This window comes from Homo sapiens, chromosome 2 (assembly GCF_000001405.40).
Source record: "Homo sapiens chromosome 2, GRCh38.p14 Primary Assembly".
Taxonomy (NCBI): Eukaryota; Metazoa; Chordata; class Mammalia; order Primates; family Hominidae; genus Homo; species Homo sapiens.
The window spans coordinates 131,059,139-131,082,998 of NC_000002.12; the positions used below are offsets into that span (position 1 = coordinate 131,059,139).

Below are 23,860 nucleotides of genomic sequence, written 5' to 3' on the forward strand. Positions count from 1 at the left end.
GGGGCCATGCCCTGTCACAGCGGAGATGATCAGGACAGATCCAGCCCTCTCCATAAGGTGCTTGGCTTCAGGGGGAAAAGAAATCACAGGAAAACAAACCACCAACATAGCAGCATTTTATGCAGTCTTGGCAAGCAATGAGGAGTCAGCTCAGAGAGGGGCAGGTGGGGCAAGGATGTCTCAAATGAAAGAAACTGTGGGGATGAGGGACGTCAAGGGTCATCTTGGATAGCTCCCTTCTCCCCAGCCACACCACCTCTTTCATTTCCCACCACCATGCAGCAGCCAGACACCAGCGGGTACCTTCAGCTGTACCTAAAGGAGACACTGCCGAATGGGATCCCCACTGTACGGCTTAATCCCAGTTTTCTGCCTCATATTTCCACTAGCCTGAAAAGAGATCCTCCCAGGAGTCACCAAACTCTTATCTGACCAAGATGATATTTTTTTTATAAAAATGTCAAAACATAGAGCTACCCTCTGTGTGTCACATCCTGAGAACAGATGCTAGACTTCAAAGTTGGGAATCTCATTCCAAACTTCCAACAGTTTAAACAAACAAACCCACAGGGTTCCCTTTCTTCATACAATTAAAAACATTCATGACAGATAACTGGAAATATGAACACTGATTACAATCTCAGTAGTGATAAAAAAAATTTTTAGGTGTGACAATGACACAGTTCTAATTTATCTTTTAAAGATAATATTTAAAAAGCTGATGAATATAATGTCTGAGATTTGCTTCAAAATAATACAGAGGAAAGTGGCAGGGGCCCAGATGAAAAAGATCAGCCATAAGGTGGTAACTGCTAAAGCCAGGTGATGTGTAGGTGGGAAGTATATTCCCATGTACTTGTGCTTAAGCCAGGTGATGTGTGAGCAGGAATTTTTTTTTTTGGATGGAGTCTCGCTGTCTCGCTCTGTCACCCAGGCTGGAGTGCTGACACCATCTTGGCTCACTGCAACCTCCACCTCCCAGGTTTAAGAGATTCTTCTGCCTCAGCCTCTCAAGTAGCTGGGACTACAGGCGTGCACCACCACACCCAGCTAATTTTTGTATTTTTAGTAGAGATGGGGTTTCACCATATTGGCCAGGCTGGTGTCGAACTCCCAACCTCGTGATCCGCCTGCCTTGGCCTCCCAAAGTGCTGGGATTACAAGCGTGAGCCACCGCGCCCGGCCGTGAGTAGGAATATTCCCATGTACTTGTGCTAAAGCAAGGCAATGTGTGAGTGGGAATTATGTTCCCATGTATTTCTGTAAATATCTGAAACGTTTCCTAATCACTCTTTTGAAGTCAAAGTATTAAAAAATACAAGGAAGACTGCTACAGATTGAAAGAGATAAGAGACATAAATTCAACTTTATAAAAAATTCACTATGTGATGCTGAGTACATTATTCTGATTCCAAACGTTTTTTAAAACTTAGGGGGTAACTGGGCAAATGTAAATAGGAGCTACTTTTAAAATTAGAGACCTGCTGTTTCTAAGTGTGGACAGGCAAAAGCACACCTCACTCATGTTAGGGAGGGCTACACTCAAGTCCATTGGACAAGACACAAAGGATTCTGAATTGATTCCACAAGAATAAAAGAAAAACCACACAACACTCATCCTTACATAAGGTAAATATGGGGAAAGATCACTGGGGAATCTAAGTGGTGGGTACTATGGACATCCACTGTATTGTCCGCTCAACTTTTCTGTATACGTAATTTTTTTTTTTTGAGACGGAGTCTCGCTCAGTTGCCTAGGCTGGAGTGCAGTGGCGCAATCTCAGCTCACTGCAAACTCCGCCTCCCGGGTTCACGCCATTCTCCTGCCTCAGTCTCCTGAGTAGCTGGGACTACAGGCGCCCACCACCAAGCCTGGCTAATTTTTTTTTTTTTTGGTAGAGACGGGGTTTCACCGTGTTAGCCAGGATGGTCTTGATCTCCTGACCTTGTGATCCACCCACCTTGGCCTCCCAAAGTGCTGGGATGACAGGCGTGAGCCACCGCGCCTGGCCCAATTTTTTTAATAAGGTGGAAGGCCGGGCGTGGTGGCTCACGCCTGTCATCCCAGCACTTTGGGAGGCCAAGGTGGGCAGATCACATGAGCCCAGGAGTTGAGACGAGCCTAGCCAAGCTGGCAAAACCTCGCCTCCAAAATTTAAAAAAAAAAAAAAAGTAAAAATAAGCAAGGTGAAAAGTATACAGTACTTTCAGATGCTGACACACAACTGAGAGCGTGTACGCTAGCCAGAAAATCTCCATGGAAACAACAGTCATGCATGAGGTAAAAGAACAAGCAAGGAAGTTAGCTGAAAGGGCCCACGGATCACCACACCCAAACGCACCCCTAGAAGATGAATTATAGTCAGGCGCAGTGGCTCATGCCTGTAATCCCAGCACTTTGGGAGGCTGAGGCAGGCGGATCACCTGAGGTCAGGAATTTGAAACCAGCCTGGCCAACACGGTGAAACCCCATCGCTACTAAAAATACAAAAGTTAGCCAGGCTTGGTGGCCACACGACTGTAGTCCCAGCCACTCGGGAAGCTGAGGTGGGAGAATCAGCTGAACCTGGGAGGTGGAGGTTGCAGTGAGCAGAGACTGCGGCAATGCACTCCAGCCTGGGCGACAGAGGGAGACCCTGTCTCGAAAAAAAAAAAAAAGAAGAAGAAGATGAATACAAAATTTTGCCAAGCCTTTAAAAAGGCCATCAGCAGGAAGGATTCTATAGCAGTCTGAAAGATGCTGATCTGGAAGATGGCCTGGCAGTTAGGCATAGGCTGGAAAAAAAGTTAAACTATGCCACTGGACATGTTCAATATATACAGCCAATGTGCAACAAGAAGTTACAGTTCTATCTGATAAACTGATTCACTAAAGAAAGAATGAGAAGAAAAAGGAAAAGCTGTTAAAAGAAGTCAAAACAAGCAATAAACCCACGACCCACATCCATCAACATTGCTAATAAGAAAGTCCTTGACCTTTTTATCACTCTTCAAACTGCAGAAAGAGCTCAGAGTGAAGAGAAGATGCAAGCTGCCAACCCAAACAAACCTCTAATACAGAGTATAAAACCAAAGTGAGGAAAATCTGAGAACACCTCTCTCCAAAGAGGGAGTCTCTCAGCCACAAGTGCTCATCTGGCCCACCACAGCCACTGAAAAAAGGTGAAGTCCTTTTTCATGCCTCATTTCCTTAGGATACACAGTCGAGGGGCCCACCTACGATGTCTTCCTTTTCTTCTACTGGAAGCCTCCCACTGCAGAAATCCCTGCAGCTAGCCCTAGGTTTCCCAATCCAATCACCCAAGGTGTCTTTTTTGTTTTTGTTTTGAGACGGAGTCTCGCTCTGTTGCCCAGGTTGGAGTGCAGCGGTGCTATCTCAGCTCACTGCAACCTCTGCCTCCCGGGTTCAAGCGATTCTTCTACCTCAGCCTCCCGAGTAGCTGGGATTACAAGCGTGCACCACCATGCTTAGCTAATTTTTGTATTTTTAGTAGAGACTGGATTCACCTATGTTGGCCAGGCTGGTCTCGAAGTCCTGATCTCAAGTGATCCACCCACCTCGGCCTCCCAAAGTGCTGGGATTACAGGTATGAGCCGCCGCGTCCGGCCTACCCAAGGTGTCTTACAACACCTACTTTACAGGTAGGCGTTGCTGAAGCAAAAGGAGCGACTGCTCCAAGGAAGCATGCATATGCAACTCAGCATGCAATGCATGGGATGCTAAACTTGTGCATTTCACACATGCACATTTTACTTAAAAACAAAACCAAAAAGGAACTAAACAAATAATGATGTGCATGCTCAAGTTATTGAGGTAAGATATACTGAGGACCACAACTTACTCTGAAATGAAACCCATCAAAAAATAAGATGGACTGAAGGATGGATGGAGTAATGTGTATGTGATACAAGTAAAATGTTACTTGTAAAAGTTGACGTTAAAAAGTTTAATCGTAGAATCTTAGCAGTCCATATATAGGTGATCACTGTGAAGTTTCTGCAACTTTTCTGTGACATCTGAAATTTTTTAAATTTAAAAAATTTAATCGTAGAATCTTAGCAGTCCATATATAGGTGATCACTGTGAAATTTCTGCAACTTTTCTGTGACATCTGAAATTTTTTACAATAAAATGTTGAAAAAAGTCACCAACGATTTCTAATCACAACAATGGTTTTTAATATATATTATCTTACTGTTTATTCTTATGACTGTGAGGCTACGTTCTAATGCTCACCAGAAAACTTTTGGTCTTTGGTTTAGGCATGAATATTACACCATTTTCTAGCCAGCACTTAAGACAAGTGCATTTCAAGTAAGGCAAACAGGTCTCCCTATCAATTTAAGACTTAGTGTGGGGCCAAGAGCTATGGTGCACACCTGTAATCCCAACACTTTAGAAGGCCAAGATGGGAGGATAACTTGATTCCAAGAGTTCTGAGACTGGCCTGAGCAGCATAGCGAGACCTTGTCTCTACAAAATAAAAATTAGCAAGGCATGGTGGGGTGTACCTGTAGTCTCAGCGATTTAGGAGGCCAAGGCAGGAGGATCGCTCATTGAGCACAGCAATTCTGGGTTACAGTGAGCTATGATTGTGCAACCACACTCCAGCCTGGGCGACTGAGCAAGACCCTGTCTCTAAAAACTAATAATAATAATTTTAAAAATTTAAAACACTAAGTAAAAAAATTTTTTTAATTAAAAATAGACAGTGTGTGCTTGCCACCTTTTTTTTTTCATTCAGCACTAAGTCCACCATATCCCTCCATAGTAACTCAACAGGAACTTCACAAACTTTAAATAAATACACACAATTACCTCATCGTACCCAAAAATATACACTGCCTCCCTGAAATATCAAATTCATTCAGTGCTAGGTCTTTCCAAAACAACAGCTTTTCAGATTCTCCCTCCCCAGGAAGCCCATCTGTACTGATGCAACCCAGGCGGCGCAGACAACAGACGCTCCCTCCTTCCACTTCACCAGACCTGTGAGTGACCCTGGCTGTGCCCTCAGGGAAGAGGACATGCACAGGGTCACTGATTTTAGAATGCCAACTGTTCGGGAACCAGAAACTTTTTATTTAAATAGGTCATTTTTTTTTTCAAAAGTACTGTGTACCACGCGGATTTTTTTATAATAATTTTTTGAGTAAAAAAAGACATTTATTTAGAAAATTTAAAAAATTCAGAAGCCTGAAGTACATGTGAGGAGAGAAGATCTGTGCCAAAACACAGCATCATGAAATTTCTGAACACTGGAGGCAAAAATCCTACAGAATAGCAAAGAAAAACCAAGGTTACACTCAATCAGGCACCAACAAGGTACCCCAATTCTCAGCAACAGTGGTGGAAGCTGGAAAGCCATTGAGCAAACACCCGAATATTCTGGGGGGAAATAACTGCTCTCTAGAATTCTGTATCCAGACAACCATCAACGAAGTGTGCGTGCAGAATAAAATGTTTTCAGACATGGAAAATCTCAAAATTGTGACTTTTCCATACTCTCCCAGGTGGTTACTGAAGAAAATCCCCCGCCAAAACCAGAGTAAACGAGGAAAAAAGAAAAGAACTCAGGCAGAAGGGAAAGGCAAAAGCAAGCCCTGGGATGATGAGAACAGTGACCCCCCCAGGGTCTGGCCCAGAGGACAACCAGTCCAGATAAGAGAGAGGAAGGGAGGGCTTCAGAGATCACCAGGAAAACAACACACAAGTATCTGAAATTGCTAAGAAGAGATCTCAACACATCGGGGGTAGCTGGAGGTTTAATTAATGCTATGGTCACAGAAACCTAATCAAAGACACCAGATAAGTACAGTATTAATTCCAGGGACACCGCAGTAGATGCAGAAGAAACTGCAACAGGGCACAGGACAACAGGATCGCCGCACAGAAGACACAGCCGTGAACAGTGCTGATGCGGCCACAATAATAGAACTGTGAAGGAAGGTCGGGGCAGCAAAGTGAGAAGTCAGTAAAGCAGTGCCACTTTACAAAAACAAACAAAAAAAGAAGCAGGGAACAGCAGAAACATGTCATGTGGAAGCACGGAAGGCACGAGCAAAAGCAGCTTTAAAGAGTTAAAGAGCTGGAGTTTGCCCATGGGGAGTGAAATGTGGGGGCTCCCACAAGGGAGCAGGCAACTGCTATTGTTCATTTTTAAAAGCCTTGTGGAGCACTGCAATCTTTTACCTCTATGAATGTAAACCTTTAAGAGGGAAAGAAACAGGCTCCACAAGACCTCACAGACTATTAATATTCCAAAGGCTATTCTCTCCCCCTCGGCTGCCATGCATGAAGTTTAATTTTTAAACAAACCAAGGGTTTCATTTTATGGCTATAATTCTGAGTTCAAAAAGAAAAGAAACGCCGGGCATGGGGGCTCATGTCTGTAATCCCAGCACTTTGGGAGGCTTAGGTGGGCGGGATCGCCTGAGGTCAGGAGTTCAAGACCAGCCTGACACACATGGAGAAACCCCGTCTCTACTAACAATACAAAAATTAGCCGGCGTGGTGGAGAGCGCCTGTAATTCCAGCTTCTCAGGAGGCTGAGGCAGGAGAATCGCTTGAACCCAGGTGGCAAGGCTTGCAGTGAGCTGAGATCGCACTACTGCACTCCAGCCTGGGCAACAGAGCGAGACTCCAGCTCAAAAAAAAAAGAAAAAAAGAAAAAAAAAAAAAAGAAAAGAAAGCTCTACTGTAAACCATTTTCACTTATCATTAAATATTCTCCATAAACAAGTACCAAAACCAGATAAACACTGTGTGATAAACAGTTTAATTAAACCATCACTTCGTAATTAAATGCATGTGTACCTGTACATAAATGTTTGCACATCCAATTATTGCCCTTAGAATACATTCCTAGAAGTGGGTCGAAAGGGTTCATTTTTAAGCTTCTAACATACACTACCAAACTGCCCTCCAAAGAAGTTTCTCCAATTTACCCTCCACCCAGCCATACACACCAATGACCATGGAAGCTATTTCATCACTCCATCACTCTTTGCAACATTTGTATCTTTTTTTTTTTTTTTTTGAGACTGAGTGGAGTCTCGCTCTGTCGCCCAGGCTGGAGTGCAGTGGTGCGATCTCGATCTCGACTCACTCACTGCAAGCTCCGCCTCCCAGGTTCATGCCATTCTTCTGCCTCAACCTCCCGAGTAGCTGGGACTACAGGCGCCCACCACCACACCCGGCTAATTTTCTGTATTTTTAGTAGAGACGGGGTTTCACCGTGTTAGCCAGGATGGTCTCGATCTCCTGACCTCGTGATCCGTCCGCCTCGGCCTCCCAAAGTGCTGGGATTACAGGCATGAGCCATTGCACCCGGCCTAAATTTGTACCTTTTAAAAATAAGTGCTAATGTAATAAATATCTAAACAACCTTGTGTGTAGAGCTTATTACAAAGAACAGACTGTTTTGACAATTTCAGATCATCATTACCAATATTAGTTACAGGTACTTGTGACTCTAAGTAGGACCAGAACAGAGGCCTCAATGTGCTGGCCCAGCTGACATCTATGCCTGATCGTAGGCTTGGGGCTGAAATCCTCCCATAAGAAATCAAGGAGTTATTTATTCATTATTCCAATGCCAAGGGTGAAGTTAAACAACTTTCCCAGGGAGTGACACAGTCAGGAGTATAATCCACATCTAGCTAACTCCACAATTCAAAGCTCTGATTCCAAAAATGGACAGCCCAGTTGTATTAGTTCATTCTCATACTACTAATAAAGAAATACCCGAGACTGGGTAATTTATAAAGGAAAGAGGTTTAATGGACTCACAGTTACACATGGCTGGGGAGGCCTCACAATCATGGTGGAAGGCAAAGGAAGAGCAAACGTGTGCAGGGGAACTGCCCTTTATAAAACCATCAGATCTCGTGAGACTTATTCACTATCATGGGAACAGCACAGGAAAAATCCACCCCCATGATTCAATTACCTCCCACCAGGTCCCTCCAGTGACATGTGGGGATTACAGGAGCTACAATTCAAGATGAGATTTGGGTGGGGACACAGCCAAACCATATCACCACCACTCTTGATGTGTGCATACACAGCCTTGTTCAGGAGGACAAAATGAATGACACCTTCTCCATTCCCAGATTCTGAAAAACAGAATTCTTCAGCAAAAGACATCTCATCACAAGGGTCTCGGAATCCTCTTATATCACAATTGGAAGAGGGCTAAGAAATACGTGGCATTTGGATTACAAAAGTGCTCTGGAAGTCAGACTCCGCATATACAGCGTTGAAACCACAAGTCAGCATTGGGTGCAAACTGAACGGCAAGATCAAGAAAGCAGCAGGGGCTGGGTGTAGTGGCTCACTCCTGTAATCCCAACACTTTGAGAGGTCAAGATGAGAGGACTGCTTGTGCTCAGGAATTTGAAACCAGCTTGGGCAATACAGTGAGACCCCATCTCTACAAAAATTTTTAAAAAATAATCTAGGTGTGGTGACTTGTGCCTAAGGTTCCAGGTACTTGGGAAGCTGAGGCAGGATTGCTTGGCAGTGAGCCAAGTTCATGCCACTGCACTCCAGCCTAGGCAACAAAGTGAGATCCTATCACACTCACACACACACACACACATACACACCCACCTCCACACACCTTCAGAGAAAGACAGAGAAAAAGCAGCAGGAAGGGAGAAAAACTTCTCTTTTAAATTTTTTATACTGATAATTTTGGCTTGCTCATCAGAAAAAGGGAAAGGCTCACTGAAAAGGGAGTTATAAAATTCAAAACATGAAGCTGGGTGTGGTGGTTTATGCCTGTAATCCCAACGCTTTGGGATGCTGCGTTGGGAAAATCCCTTGAACTCAGCAGAAAAAGGCTGTAACTGTACCACTGGACTTTACCCTGGGTGAAACCACAAGACCCCCATCTCTTAAAAACAAACACCCAAGACATGAAAACAGAGAGGATACCAGAAAAAGATGGGCACACAGCTGTGGTCCAGACTCAGGTTAGATGGACAACAGCACTTGTGGGACATCAGAAAGACTTTTTCTTTTTTCTTTTTTTGAGACAGAGTCTCGCTCTGTCACACAGGCTGCAGTGCAGTGGTGCGATTTTGGCTCACTGCAACCTCTGCCTCCCAGGTTCAAGTGATTCTCCTGCCTCAGCCTCCTGAACAGCTGGGACTACAAGTGTGTGCCACCACACTCGGCTCATTTTTGTATTTTTAGTAGAGATGGGGTCTCACTGTATTGGCCAGGCTGGTCTTGAATTCCTGGCCTCAAGTGATCTGCCCACCTTGGCAACCCAAAGTGCTAGGATTACAGGAATGAAAACCACCGTGCCCGGCTGCCTTATATTTTTCATTCACCAATTTCACAGCTTCTCCTACAAGACCAGAAGATCTGGCACTGGTGAGCCAGCAGTCTGGCACCTAACAACTGCCTGGCACCCGTCAGCAGATGCCCCTCTAAACAAGGTAGGCCGTTTGGGCAGCTGCAGTTGCTACCTGCCTGTCCCAGCTTCTGGATTACAGGAACAATTTGAGAGCAGTCTTGGAAAAGGGACAACACAGGCCTTACCTCCCTATGAGAAAGGAGAGATGTTCGAGAAGATGGGTGACAAGCTGGGCATGGTAGCTCACGGCTATAATCCCAGCACTTTGGAAGGCTGAGGCAGGAGGATCACTTAAGCCCAGGAGTTTGCGACCAGCCTAGACAACATAGTGAAACCCATCTCTACAAAAAAATAGAAAAATTAGCCGAGTGTGGTGGTGTGCACCTGTAATCCCAGCTACTCGGGAGGCTGAGGTGGGAGCATTGCTTGAGCCTGAAAAGTCGAGGCTGCAGTGAGGCGTGATTGCACCACTGCACTGCAGCCTGGGCGACAGAGCAAGACCCTGTCTCAAAATAATAATGAGATGGGTGGCCCATGTTCCACAGGGTGGCCCCCACAGGCACCCAAGGGGGGAAGGTGTCAGCAGCACTCAGTCTCCACCCTGCCTCTGCTAGGCAGTGCTGCACATTTTTGGCAAGAACAGCTCTCAGCCTGAAATTAACTCAAGGTTCTTCTTGTAAAATAAAAAAGTTGAAAGTTTTAAGTACATTTTCACACTGATTTGTGCTCCATGAAGAAATGAGTAAAAGTGGGCTACCTCTGAAAATCCTAGAAGAGTAACTTACGTTATGGTGGTCTACGGCATGATCATCACATGCCACATTGATACGTATGCCAAAGATATAAACTTCAATCCATTCCTACCATCATACACAAAAATTAACTGCAAATGGGTCACAGACATAAATGTAAAACCTACAAGTGTAAAACTTCTACAAGAAAAAAGAAGAAAATCTTTGTGAAGTTAGGTTACACAGGTTTCTTTCTCTTTTGTTTTTTTTTTTGGGGACGGAGTCCTGCTCTGTCGCTCAGGCTGGAGTGCAGTGGCGCAATCTCGGCTCACTGCAAGCTCCGCCTTCCAGGTTCTGGCCATTCTCCTGCCTCAGCCTCTGGAGTAGCTGGGACTACAGGAGCCCGCCACCATGACCAGCTAATTTTTTGTATTTTTAGTAGAGAGGGGGTTTCACCGCGTTAGCCAGGATGGTCTCGATCTCCTGACCTCATGATCCACCCACCCCGGCCTCCCAAAGTGCTGGGACGACAGGCGTGAGCCACTGCGCCCAGCCAAGTTACACAGGTTTATTAAGTATGGTACCAAAAGCATGATCCATAAAACGACTAACCCTCATCAAACTTTTTTTTTTTTGGTTGAGACGGAGTCTCACCCTGTCGCCCAGGCTGGAATGCTATGGCACGATCTCGGCTCACTGCAACCTCTGTCTCCTGGGTTCAAGTGATTCTCCTGCCTCAGCCTCCCTAGTAGCCGGGATTACCGGAGTGCGCCTCCAAGCCCAGCTAATTTTTGTATTTTTAGTAGAGACGGGGTTTCACCACGTTGGCCAGGCTGGTCTCGAACTCCTGACCTCATGATCCACCCGCCTCAGCCTCCCAAATTGCTGGGATTACAGACGTGAGCCACCGCGCCCAGCCTAAACTTTTAAAACCCCTGCTCTTTAAAAGACGTTGTTAAAAGAATGAAAAAGCCACAGACTGGGAGAAAACACGCATATATCTGATAAGAACTCTCAAAAACTCAACGATAAGAAAACAATAACTGACATACAGTAAAAGCAAATTCTTCACCAAAGACATACAGAAGGCAAATACGCACATGAAAAGATACTGCTACACATTCACTAGAATGGCTAGAATTAAAAAGACTGACCACACCAAGTGTTGTTAAGGATGTGGAGGAACGACAACTCACAAACACTGCTGGTAGGAATGTAAAATGGTACCACCACTTTGGAAGACAGTTTGGCAGTTTCTCACAAAGTTAAATATACACTTGCCATAATAACCAGCCACTCAAATCCTCTGTATTTATTTACTCAAGAGAAATCAAAGTGTATGTTCACACAATAACCTGCATATAAATATTAATAGCATTTTCATTTGTAATAGCCCAAAATTGCAAATAACCCAAATGTTCATCACATGGTAAATGGATAAGCAAACTGAAGTATTTATTTCCATACAACAAAATACTACCTAACAATAAAAAGGAATGAACTGCTAATATACACTACGAGATGGATGGTTCTTTCAAGGCAAAACACAAAAGGAAAACCACTCTAAAGGGAAAAAATGGGCCAATATGGCAAACAGCTAGGGACTGAAAGTCGAGACTCTAGGCATAACTGTGTCTCACAGTCATGGGAAACCACTGAGAAAAATTCATCTGGGAGCATCGCTCTGGTTTAAATGGGAAGAACACTAACCCGGGGAAAGAAAGCTTGGGAGCAGGAAGACCAAGTCAAGAACGTTTTTCTCAGGGTGTGAACTACGGTCTGAACAAGGGTGGTCATATAGGGTCATAGTGGAAGTGGAAATGGAAACGAAGAGATGGATGTAAGGACAGAATATAAAGGCAGAATTTTATGATTAACAAAACAGGAAGAATCTGGGGAAAGGACACTGCTGTTGTCTCCTCCTCTGTCAAAGTTAACTGTGTGAAGCTACTGTTGAGGGATAAAGTTGCCCCAGCAGTCCCAGGATTAAGGCCAAACCACAGCCTCAGATCAGAGTGTGCACCACCACTGCTGCGGCAGAAAGGCAAAGCCCCGTGTGGGTGAAAAAAGTCCAAAAGGAACCAACACCAGAGAGTGCAGGCTCCTAGCAGGAAATCCCACTAAATAACCAATCTCCTCAAGATTCAGACCCAAACCAATTCCACTTTTAATATTAACAGTGATTTCCAAAATCTAAAAATATTCATCTATACATTACATGGAAAATAATACTTTTTTAAAAAATATTATCAGAGTGCTAAAGTAGTCTAACCAAAAATTATCTCTAAAAACATTAACATGGAAATTCCACCTGTTGGCATGGCAAGAAATTCTTCAATTTCTAGTAGGTGATACTATTTCATGAACAGATGCTCTGGCAGAGTTAACAACCTAGTGATTACAGATTTGCCTTGTGGGAGGACATGAGAAACACAGTATATAAAGCTTCAGTGCAGTAAGAATTAAGCTTTTGTTGCACTTATCAACAGGCTAACTTAATGAACTTGAGAAATCGACTCAACCAAGTCCTAATTCTATACCCACCCCTCTCAAAATCCACCCCTTCACCTTTCTCTCCCAGCTGTACGTACAAAGCATTTTACCACCCAGCACATACCTGTTTGGAAGGTAGGATTCGCTCCAGGATACATGTTAGGAGAATAGGCAGGAGCTGCTGCTGCATAGCCCATGGGAAAACCAGCTGAAGAAAAATAAAGAACAATCTCATGTCATCAACTGAAGTAGCGACAATCACTAGAGCTCCTGCAAAGCCATCGCTCTTACCTTCTTCCCCAGAACTCCACAGACTTAAGCAGCCCCAAGAGCACTATGTGTGGCCAACAGCATGTCTCTAGTTGTCTTCTTCCCGCAGAACTTTGTTTTTTTTATCGTTGTCGTCTTTTGAGACAGAGTTTCACTTTCATCGCCCAGGCTGGAGTGCAATGGCATGATCTTGGCTCACTGCAACCTCTGCCTCCCAGGTTCAAGCGATTCTCCTGCCTCAGCCTTCCGAAGAGCTGGGATTACAGGTGTGTGTCACCACACCTGGCTAATTTTTCTATTTTTAGTAGAGACGGGGTTTCATCACGTTAGCCAGGCTGGTCTTGAACTCCTGATTTCAGTTGATCCACCCGCCTCGGCCTCCCAAAGTGCTGGGATTATAGGTGTGAGCCACCACGCCTGGCTTTCCCTCAGAATTTTGATAGGTAACAATTATATATTTTATTTTTATTTATTTTTTGGAGGGGGACAGAGTTTCACTCTTGTTGCCCAGGCTAGAGTGCAGTGGCGCGACCTCGGCTCACTGCAACCTCCGTTTCAAGCGATTCTCCTGCCTCAGCCTTCCGAGTAGCTGGGATTACAGGCATCTACCACCACGCCCAGCTAATTTTTGTATTTTTAGTAGAGACAAGGTTTCACCATGGTGACCAGGCTGGTCTCGAACTCCTGACCTCATGATCCACCCACCTCAGCCTCCCGAAGTGCTGGGATTACAGGCATAAGCCACCGCGCCAAGCCTCAATTATAACATTTCTGGAAGTTTCATTCCAAACTCTAATCACATAATTACTTAGCAAGAGTAGTAAGAGTGCTAAGGGTATCACACGCTAGGTCCTGTTACCCTCATCTGACTTCACTGCACAAAGTCTGGAAGAATCAGAATTCAAGTCTAGCTTGGACTCAAGGGCCTATTTTTGCTGCTACCAGTGAACAGCTAAGCCTATGTAAAGGTCACTCATTTTCACTGAATTCCGACATTTCCTACATTACATATTTTGACTTAAAAGCTATTATTTTTTGTTGTAAGAAACTGTTTTAAACTTCTAAATTCATTTCAGGTTTTTTCACATTCTGATGTTCTTTTTTTTTTCTAAGACAGAGTCTTGCTCTGTTGCCTACGCTGGAGTGCAGTGGTGAGATCTCGGCTCACTGCAACCTCCGCCTCCTGGGTTCAAGCATTTCTCCTGCCTCAGTCTCCCTAGTAGCTGGGACTACAGGCGTGCACCACCACGCCCAGCTAATTTTTGTATTTTTAGTAGAGATGGGGTTTTGCCATGCTGGCCAGGCTGGTCTCGAACTCCTGACCTCAGGTGATCCACCTGCCTCGGCCTCCCAAAGTGCGGGTATTACCGGCATGAGTTACCACGCCTTGCCATATTTTGATGTTCTGATCCCCAACTTCTCCAGCATGACCAGCTAATATGTTTTCATATGTCCTCTCCAAAGCTCACGTTAAAATTTGTCATTTTAACAGCACTGAGAGGTGGGACATTTAATAGGTGACGGCTTTATTATGAAAGTGGGTTCCTGATAAAAAGGACAAGTTCAGCCCCCTTTCTCTCTGACGCACTCGCTGCCCTTCCACCATCCATCACAAGAGGATAGAGCCCAAAAGCCCTCACGAGATGCCATCGCCATGCTCTTGGACTTCCCTAACCTCCAGAACCAAGAGCCTAATAAATTTCTGTTCATTATCCAGCTTGATATTCTGCTAAAGCAGCAGAAAACAAATTAAGACACCAGTCATAAACCCAGGCTGTGTCTTACTTAAGCTTCAGTCTTCTTACAGAAGGAGCTCTAACTGGGAATGCATACACACAGAAATGGGAAAAATCCAACTACAGTCCACGTGCAAATAAGCTGACCTTTATTAATACAAATGAGGAATCTTATTAAGACTAAACCATGACCTAGTAATTCATAATATGAACGAAACAGAAACATCAAATAAGACATTGAGTGCTACAGTCAGAATCCTGGCCCCAAGGTGCAACCAACAGAGGGGGCCTCAGGCATCTGCCCTTTTCGATAAGGCCTCCCTTCCCTTTGGGCTGACCCCTCTGGCTCACAGTACAGGAGGCATCACTTGTGACAGCTGAGGTATTAGAAAGTATTCTCTCTTTTTTTTTGAGACAGAGTCTCGCTCTGTTGCCAGGCTGGAGTGCAATGGCGTGATCTCGGCTCACTGCAACCTCTACCTCCCTGGTTCAAGCGATTCTCCTGCCTCATCCTCCCAAGTAGCTGGGATTTCGGGCACACGCCACCATGTCCAGCTAATGTTTGTATTTTTAGTAGAGACGGGGTTTCACCATGTTGGCCAGGATGGTCTCCATCTCCTGACCTCATAATCCGCCCTCCTCGGCCTCCCAAAGTGCTGGGATTACAGGTGTGAGCCACTGCACCTGGCCAGAAAGCGTTCTTTCTATTTGGGGCACACAGCCAACAAGATGACTCAGGTTTCCTAGCCTTGATTACTGTTCCCACTAGCTGTGAGAAGCTGTAACTTCTCTACTGCACACTTCCTTCACCTGTAAATAAAGTTGAAAGAGAAGAGCAGTCTTCAAAAGAAACTGTGTTGAGGAGGCCTGGAGAAAGGTGTCTCTTACAGCACTTGGACTGGGATTTTTAAGGTGTTACGATCCCTTAGGAACAAATCATGGTGCTAACAGTAACCAAAGCAAGGAAGCCCTAAGGTTGAGGTAAAAACAGGGGGGATCTGAGTGGAATGCCAAAAGGAAAATCTTTGTAGGTGGGACAGAAAGTTCTGAATACAGCTCCTCACGTGCCTCCCTTCGGCCCCCTCAGCCTGGATCCCTTGCTCTATTGCCCTGCATCCCTAAGCCATCTTGCAGGTTTCTGTGGGAACAGGAGGCATCAGTGTCACCAAGCCCTAGCCCCAGAATCCCTCCAAGTGCCCAGTTCTCATCTTTATCCTTGCTTCAAAGTTGCTTTCCTCACTTCAAACTGATCCCCCTCTACCTCAGCAGAAGCCATTCCGGGTTTCCCTCCTGGACTCTCACCCTCCCGTTTGCCCTCTCTAATTAGTCAGAGAACAGAGTGTGGTGGACGTCAAGGGCAGATTCAACTTCAAAGAGACCCACAATGGCCACTGGAAAGACCAGGACAGCAGTTCTGGGGATGCTGAGAGACTCCTCAGAAGCCCAATTGTGAGCACAGGAAGACCAAGAAAGGTCTGGAACTGCCCTCAGAGACCAGGGAACCAGCAAGATTTTTTTTTCCAATGGTTTCCTTCTTTTAAAAAAAAAAAAAAAGTTTCAACTACCACTGACCTAGATCATATCCTGTAGGCCTCTGCAATAATTTCCAGAAATTCCAAATTCCTCATCTCTCCCTAAAACTCTACCAATATATTCTCATGGGAAGAGGGCTGCTCTGGATTTGTTTGCTGAAGATTGTGTTTAACGGTCCCTGAAAAACTACTGTCTTCTTTGCTTAGTCCTTCCCATCCCCACTTTCTTTCTTTTTTTTTTTTTGAGACGGAGTCTTGCTCTGTCGCCCAGGCTGGAATGCAGTGGCGTGATCTCGGCTTACTGCAAGCTCCGCCTCCTGGGTTCACGCCATTCTCCTACCTCAGCCTCCTGAGTGGCTAGGACTACAGGGGCCCGTGCCCGGCTAATTTTTTGTATTTTTAGTAGAGACAGGGTTTCACCATGTTAGCCAGGATGGTCTCGATCTACATACCTCGTGATCCGCCCACCCCGGCCTCCCAAAGTGCTGGGATTACAGGCACGAGCCACCGCGCCCGGCCCCCCAGTTTCTAACAAGAAGTTAACACATCCTATAATGAAACAGCAAACACACACGATAGTATTTAAGATGGCATCACTAGCCACCAGCAACAAGATGCACTACATACCTGGTCTCTGGTATGGGGATCAAAGACTCCCAATCTCCTAGACAGCCTCTGCTGCTTCCGTGCTCCCATCGCCTCATCCCATCAGCCACATCCCACTTGCTCTGTCACCACTCTGACCCAAGCCGCAGCGTGGCTCCCCTCACTATCTCCAATGGTTTCTACCTGGACTGCACAAAACCCACAGGGGCAGCTTTGGGAGGACCCCCAACACTGCTTTAGCTGGTCTCGGGTGCACCAGCCTCTTTTTTCTCATTCTCTCCAGACAGTGAATCTGCAGGGTTCCAAGCAATGGAGTTAAGAATCACTGTTTCTTCCTATTCCTGATCTTTCTGGGTACCCCAACCCCCAGCAGACACAGAGACCGTCTCCTTCAGCATCTATTCTAGCCCTCTTCTGGCATGGTAGGCTGGAAAGGCCAGACTCCCTACATCAAGGCACCAGAGCGATCCCAAACCTGAATCATTTCTACAAGACTGATCACCTTGGCCGGGCGCAGTGGCTCACGCCTGTAATCCCAGCACTTTGGGAGGCCGAGGCAGGTGGATCACGAGGTCAGGAGATTGAGACCACGATGAAACCCCATCTCTAATAAAAGTACAAAAAAAAAATTAGCCGGGTGCAGTGGCGGGCTCCTGTAGTCCCAGCTACTCAGGAGGCTGAGGCAGGAGAATGGCGTGAACCTGGGAGGCGCAGCTTGCAGTGAGCCGAGATCGCGCCACTGCACTCCAGCCTGGGCAACAGAGCAAGACTCCGTCTTAAAAAAAAAAAAAAAAAAAGACTGATCACCTTACAAAAGTAAAAGCTTCAGAACAGCAAAAAATACCATAGTTAAGCAAAAGGACAAATTCAGATAAAGTATCTAAATTATTTAGACAAAGGGCTAGTACACTTAATACGTAAGTAACTTTTAAAACCACAAAAACAAACATCCCGCCCCACCCCCACCACTCAAATCAATAGACACAGATACACAGAATTGCAAACTACAACTACGCTGACTAACTTCCGACTAGCAGAAATCCAGAAGCTGGAAAACACATTCTGTTAGCCAGGCTGTGGGGAAATCGTCTCACACTGCTGATAAGAACTCAGCAGTATCCTAACAATCACATGTGCATTTGCTCTCTGACCCAGCAACCCCAGCTCTAGGAACCCACCCTGAGGAGAATTCCCAGAGTCACACAAACATAGGGCTGTTCACAGAATCATTACTAAAATAGCACACACTTCAAACAACTCCAATGCCCATCACAAGGAAACTGGCTCAATCAACTATGGAAGCCCACAAGATGGAGTGTATGTAACGCTATTACATTTAAAAAAAAAAAAAAAAAAAAGAACAAGGCAAACTTCTGTGAACTGTTATGGAGTGATTCCTTACAAAGCGAAGTGAGCAACGCCGCCTGCATCTCTTTTCCAGAAAGAACCTACTGTTCAGCCAGGAGAAGTATGTGGGTCAACAGTCTCAGGAGCAGGACCAGGCCGCTGGTGCCTCATGTCGGCCTCCAACTGCTAACCCTTGCCCCAGAGCACCCGTGGGCTGGCCATGAGTTCGGCAAATGTGCCTCACAGTCTGAGGCTCTCCCTAATTCTACTTCCTCCCTGCTGGATTTTCCTATGTGATAGCCCCCCCAAAATGTTTATGTTCCTAACTCCATCCCAGTGTCCACTACCATTTGTGGAACAAAGGAGAAATTAGGATCTACAGCCTTGTTGACCTGGGCGGTGCTTGTCAATTCTCAGCATGGGCAAGAGGCCAAGTCTAGGTTCTCCCTGGACAGAAGGCCGTGGCTGGAGGACAGAGAAACATGGGTTTTGGTGATCTTGAAGGGCTGTAGTGATAAAATTGGACCTCAGATGAGCTTCAAAACCAGTTAAAGTCTGCTTTAAGACATATGTCAAATTCTAAAGCTACCCCAGCAGACAGCAAAAACCAAAAATCTCTGAAACGCAGAGTTTTCCTTACTCCCCTGGTGTAAGAGACAAAGATCAGGGTACGGATCCACAAGAGGGATGGACTGTGCAGAGCATGTCAGGCTTATGGAAACCCTGCGCTCCAGAATAAGGGCAGAACAAAGGGAGACCAAGCCTTGCCAAAACTGAAATGCATCTAAGCCCAGCTCCAAGTGGATTAAGAAGACCATTCAGCATGCTACCTTCCCAGCAAAAGAAGACATCATCAGTGAAACCACCCATAATTTCTAATACACTGCGTGAGACAGTTAATGAAAAACACCAGGCATGCCAAGACAGGACCATGTGACGGAAAAACAAAAGAACAGAACAAATGGACAATAAAAACTGACGCACAGGTGATCCAGAGACTGCAGTTAGCAAACAGTTTTTAAAATAACTCAGTAGTATGTTGGAAAAAACAGAAGATGGAGAAAATACATAAAAAGACTTGATTCAATACATGAATTATAGCAAATTAGAGCAGAATTAGCAGGACAAATGGAAGCAGATCAGTATAAACTATCTGTATTAAAGCTCATGGAGAAAAAAACAGAAACTATAAAACAGGGTGCAAGAGACAGAAAGGACAGACTGAAATGGTCTAAAACACTTATAGATGGAGTTCCAGGAGAGGAGAGAAAGGGACAAAAACAATATTTGAAGAGCTACTGCTACTGCTGGAAGAAATCAACTCAGAGTCAAGAGGTTCTCTGAACACTATGCAAGGTAAATACAAATAAAATCGCATCTAGTTACATCATGGTAAAAGCAAAGATATTTTCAAAGTAGCAAGGTACACGGGTTGGGGGAAATGTAGAGAAGAAACATGATTTCAAAGAGGCAAAAATTATTCTAGGCCGGGCACAGTGGCTCAGGCCTGTACTCCCAGTACTTTGGGAGGCTGAGGTGGGATGAGCACAGGAGTTTGAGATCAGCCTGGGCAACACAGTGAGACCCGATCTCTACAAAAATTAAAATTAAAAAATTATTCAGGCATGGTAGCGCACACCTGTAGTCCCAGCTACTTGGGAGGCTGAGGCAGGAGGATCCCTTGAGTCCAAGGAGTTTGAGGCTGCAGTGAGCCGTGACTACACCACTGCACTGGGGCCTGAATGACAGAGCAAGACCCTTTCACAAAAAAAAAAAAAAAAATTATTTTGACAGAAACCAGATGACAAATTTTATCTTTAAAGTGCTGAGAGGAAATAATGTGACATTATTCGGGAAAATAATCTTCACAGATGTGATTAAGTGAAGGATCTTGAGATGAGGTCATTCTGGAATCCTGGACTGCCCAGGCTGGCTCTAAATCCAATGACAAGTGTCCTTATAAAAAACACACAGGGCCGGGCACGGTGGCTCAGGCCTGTAATCCCAGCACTTTGGGAGGCCAATCACCTGAGGTCAGGAGTTTAAGACCAGCCTGGCCAACATGGTGAAACCCTATCTCTACTAAAAATACAAAAATTAGTCGGGCGTGGTGGCACGCACCACATACCTGTAATCCCAGCTGCTCAGGAGGCTGAGGCAGGAGAATCACTTGAACTTGGGAGGCAGATGTTGCAGAGAGCCAAGATCACGCCACTGCACTCCAGCCTGGGTGACAAGAGTGAGACTTCGTCTCAAAACAAACACACAAAAGACACACAGGAGAGGATGTGACCATGGAGGCAGAAATGGGAGTGATGCAGCCACAAAGCCACATGCTAAAGACTGCAGACAGCCACCAGAAACTAGAAGATGCAAGGAATGGATTTTCCTCTGGGCCTGCACTAGGAGTACAGACCTGCCAACGCCTTGATTTCGAACCTCTGGGACTACATCTCTATGGCTTTAACCCACCAAGTTTGTGGTTACCTGTTATAGCAGCCACAAAAAAAACAAACACACCCGGCAAAAGAATGCCTCAAAAGAAAAGCAAAATAAAGACAATTTCACAAAACAAAATTCACTAACAGACTTGTGGTTTAAAAAAAAAAATGTGGCTCGGAGCAGTGGCTCACGCTTGTAATCCCAACACTTTGGGAGGCCGAGGTGGGAGGATCACCTGAGGTCAGGAGTTCTTGATCAGCCTGGCCAATATGGCAAAAACCCATCTCTACTAAAAATACAAACATTAGCTGGGCATGGTGGCAGGCGCCTGTAATCCCAGCAACTCAGGAGGCTGAGGCAGGAGAATCACCTGAACGCGGGAGGCAGAGGTTGCAGTGAGCCAAGATCACGCCATTGCACTCCAGCCTGGGCAACAAGAGTGAAACTCTGTCTCAGAAAAAAAAAAAATGTTGAGAGTTGTTCAGATAAAGGTCAATGACTCCAGAGAGAAACATGTAAATAGAGAAAGCAATGAAGAGCACCAAAAACAGTAAATGTGTGAATAAATATAAATGGCTGTTGATTGCACAAAATTAAAACAGTAACGTCTTTTTTTTTTTTTGAGACAGAGTCTCGCTCTGTCACCAGGCTGGAGTACTGTGACACAAGTAATATCTTAAGGTAAGGCAACAACAGAAAAAGAGGGGCTCACGCTTATAATCACAGCACTTTGGGAGGCTCAGGAGAGCGGATCACTTGAGGTCTGCAGTTCGAGACCAGCCTGGCTCACACAGTGAACAAAAAATTAGCTGGGCATGGTGGCATGCATCTGTAATCCCAGTTACTCGGGAGGCTGAGGCTGGAGAATCGCTTGAACCCGGGAGATGGAGGTTGTAGTGAGCTGAGATCGTGCCACTGCACTCCAGCCTGGGCAACAGGGCAAGACGGTCTCAAAAAAATAAAAATAAAAGAGGTATAATCTTTATAATAAGCACTAAAAGAATAGTAAAAGAATTTTTTTTTTGAGACAGAGTCTTGCTCTGTCGCCCAGGCTGGAGTGCAGTGGCACGATCTCAGCTCACTGCAAGCTCCACCTCCCGGGTTCACGCCATTCTCCTGCCTCAGCATCCTAAGTAGCTGGAGATACAGGCGCCCGCCACCATGCCTGGCTAATTTTTTTTTGTATTTTTAGTAGAGACGGGGTTTCAGTGTTAGCCAGGATGGTCTCGATCTCCTGAACTCATGATCTGCCTGCCTCGGCCTCCCAAAGTGCTGGGATTACAGGCATGAGCCACTACACCCAGCCTGTCACTCCTTTTCTTACAGTTTCTCTACTCAGCCCTTCTGGAGAAGAGCTCCAGATGTTTCTTTACTGTTCTGTTTTCCTCCCTTTCCTTATGTTGCATTCTGGTTCTCTCTTAACCAGTGTCTTGTCTTGATATTAACCTGAAATTTGTTCATATGCCATTTTGTTTCATTTCTTAAAGTTCCAGCTAGTTCTTTTTTCTCAGCATCTTGTTCCCCTCTTATGTTTCTGATTCTTTCTTTTATATCTGCAATTCTTCTAAACTTGGCTATGTGACATAGCATCTACCTGATGGTTCTTCTCCTGCAGTCTGTCATGGCTGGTGCCTCTTACTTGATGGGAGGCATCCCATGCTAGCAGGCAGAACTTTGCCTGCAGGAAGCCCACGCAACCTGGGTTGTGAACATATGCCCCCACAGCAGTTCTGCATTCGCTGCTGTCAGGAGCCCCAGGAGTAACCAAGCCTGGAGACTATTTTTACGTTAATTTCTCAACTTCTGAACCCCTGGGGAGTATAATACAAGCTAGAGCCCCAAACATCTCTGAATGCTTACAAAGTCTTAGTAAAGATCTCCCGCTTCTCAGAGCCCAAGCATATAAACTTCCTTATGGGGCCACTGGACGACTAGACTGTTTAGTCTATCTCTTTGCTGAGAGTATCACCCTCCAGAGGGACGAGAATGACTGATAAGAAGTCTCACTCTCATTCCCTGTCGCAAGGGTCCTAATACTCAATCTCTATCCCCATGTGGGTTGTTAAAACCCACAAATAGCACATGTGCCCAGGACAGGCACGACATTAGTTCAAAGGCCAAGTTAGCTGGGTTTAACATGGCCTTCACATTTGACCCCAGATATCTCTCTTACCTCCTGCAAGTTCAGTTATACATTTGTAAAATGTTTTATTTCACTTTCTGAGAGTCTTAGCAACAAAGTTTTGGGGTTATCTCTTCTACCATATTATCAAAACCCAAAATGAAACTGTATCATTATAAATAACTACTCCTTGTGCAAAGTCACCGAAGGGAACAACCATTTGCTATTTTTGACCAACCAGCTCCTATCCCCTCAATATCCATTTCGCTGCAACCCTCACTTGCAGTCCATATTTGACTAGCTGACTCCACTAAAGGGATGTGGATCAGGCCTAAGTCAATCAGCAGACTCCCCTTTGTGGCCCAGGGATGGATGCTGAGTTTAATCAGAACAAAGCCCAGGACTGGTTTGAATAGAGAACAAGCAGTCCCATCAGGCTTTCCTGTAGAGTGGAGGTAAAGAGGCTCTTAGTGAGGGACTACTGGGAGGGGCCTGAACTTCAGAGACCACAATGAGAAGGAGTGGGACCTGTGACCAACACTAAGTTAATACTGAGGAAGCGAAGCTGAGACCAGGAGGTAGAGAAACTAGATCCTGGTCCCAACTGCTGGAGCCACTAGATCAAGTTTTGACCAAATCCAGTCCTATCATTTGATTTTTCACTTCCAGGTATTTTCTTTCTTGTCTAAGCCACTTTGAGCTGCGTTTGTCAATAGAAAGCATTCTTAGTGACATGAAAATATACCAAGTATTCAAAGTTCAAAAATGAAAACAAAATTTTACTTACTTACCTGGATAACCAATTCCTTTGGCATTTGCATAGGGAACCCCAGAAGATCCAGGACTATAAACAGGATTCATGATTTCAAAAACTAAAAGAAAAAAAAGGGAATTTAGCCAAGCACTTTTGCTCTCAGATTTTTCTCCAGTACCAGTCCCCAAAAAGCAGGTAGCTAGAGTCCTTTCTCTAGGCTGCTATAAAACAATGCATTTCATGCTGCCCCCAACCAGCGAAGAACAGAAAAGGGACACTCGATGTCCTAATGGGTGCCAAACCAGGGCATGATAAACTTTTTTTCACAATTCTCCTCAGTCCATCAGAAGCTAAGGAGTAAAAATTGTTAGCTATATGTCCACTAAAAGCAAGGGGAAAGGCCAGGTACGGTGGTGCACTCCTGTAATCCCAGCACTTTGGGAGGCCGAGGTGGGCAGA

The 23,860-nt window shown here is 45.2% G+C and overlaps 1 protein-coding gene across 13 annotated transcripts in view; it reads right to left on the reverse strand.

Moving 5' to 3' along the window:
• Positions 1-23,860, reverse strand: part of FAM168B (family with sequence similarity 168 member B) — a 45,585-nt gene that overhangs the window by 11,263 nt on the left and 10,462 nt on the right. For 12 of the 13 annotated variants that reach the window (NM_001321746.2, NM_001321745.1, NM_001009993.4 and 9 more), the window contains 2 exons: positions 23,439-23,519; positions 12,717-12,800 (listed from right to left, as the gene is read on the reverse strand). In NM_001321746.2, coding sequence (NP_001308675.1) covers positions 12,717-12,800; positions 23,439-23,508 — 154 coding nt within the window. In that variant the 5' untranslated portion in view covers positions 23,509-23,519. Of the gene's footprint in view, positions 1-12,716; positions 12,801-12,883; positions 17,232-23,438; positions 23,520-23,860 lie in introns of those variants that run through there. The other variant, XM_011510594.4, reaches the window with a different exon arrangement.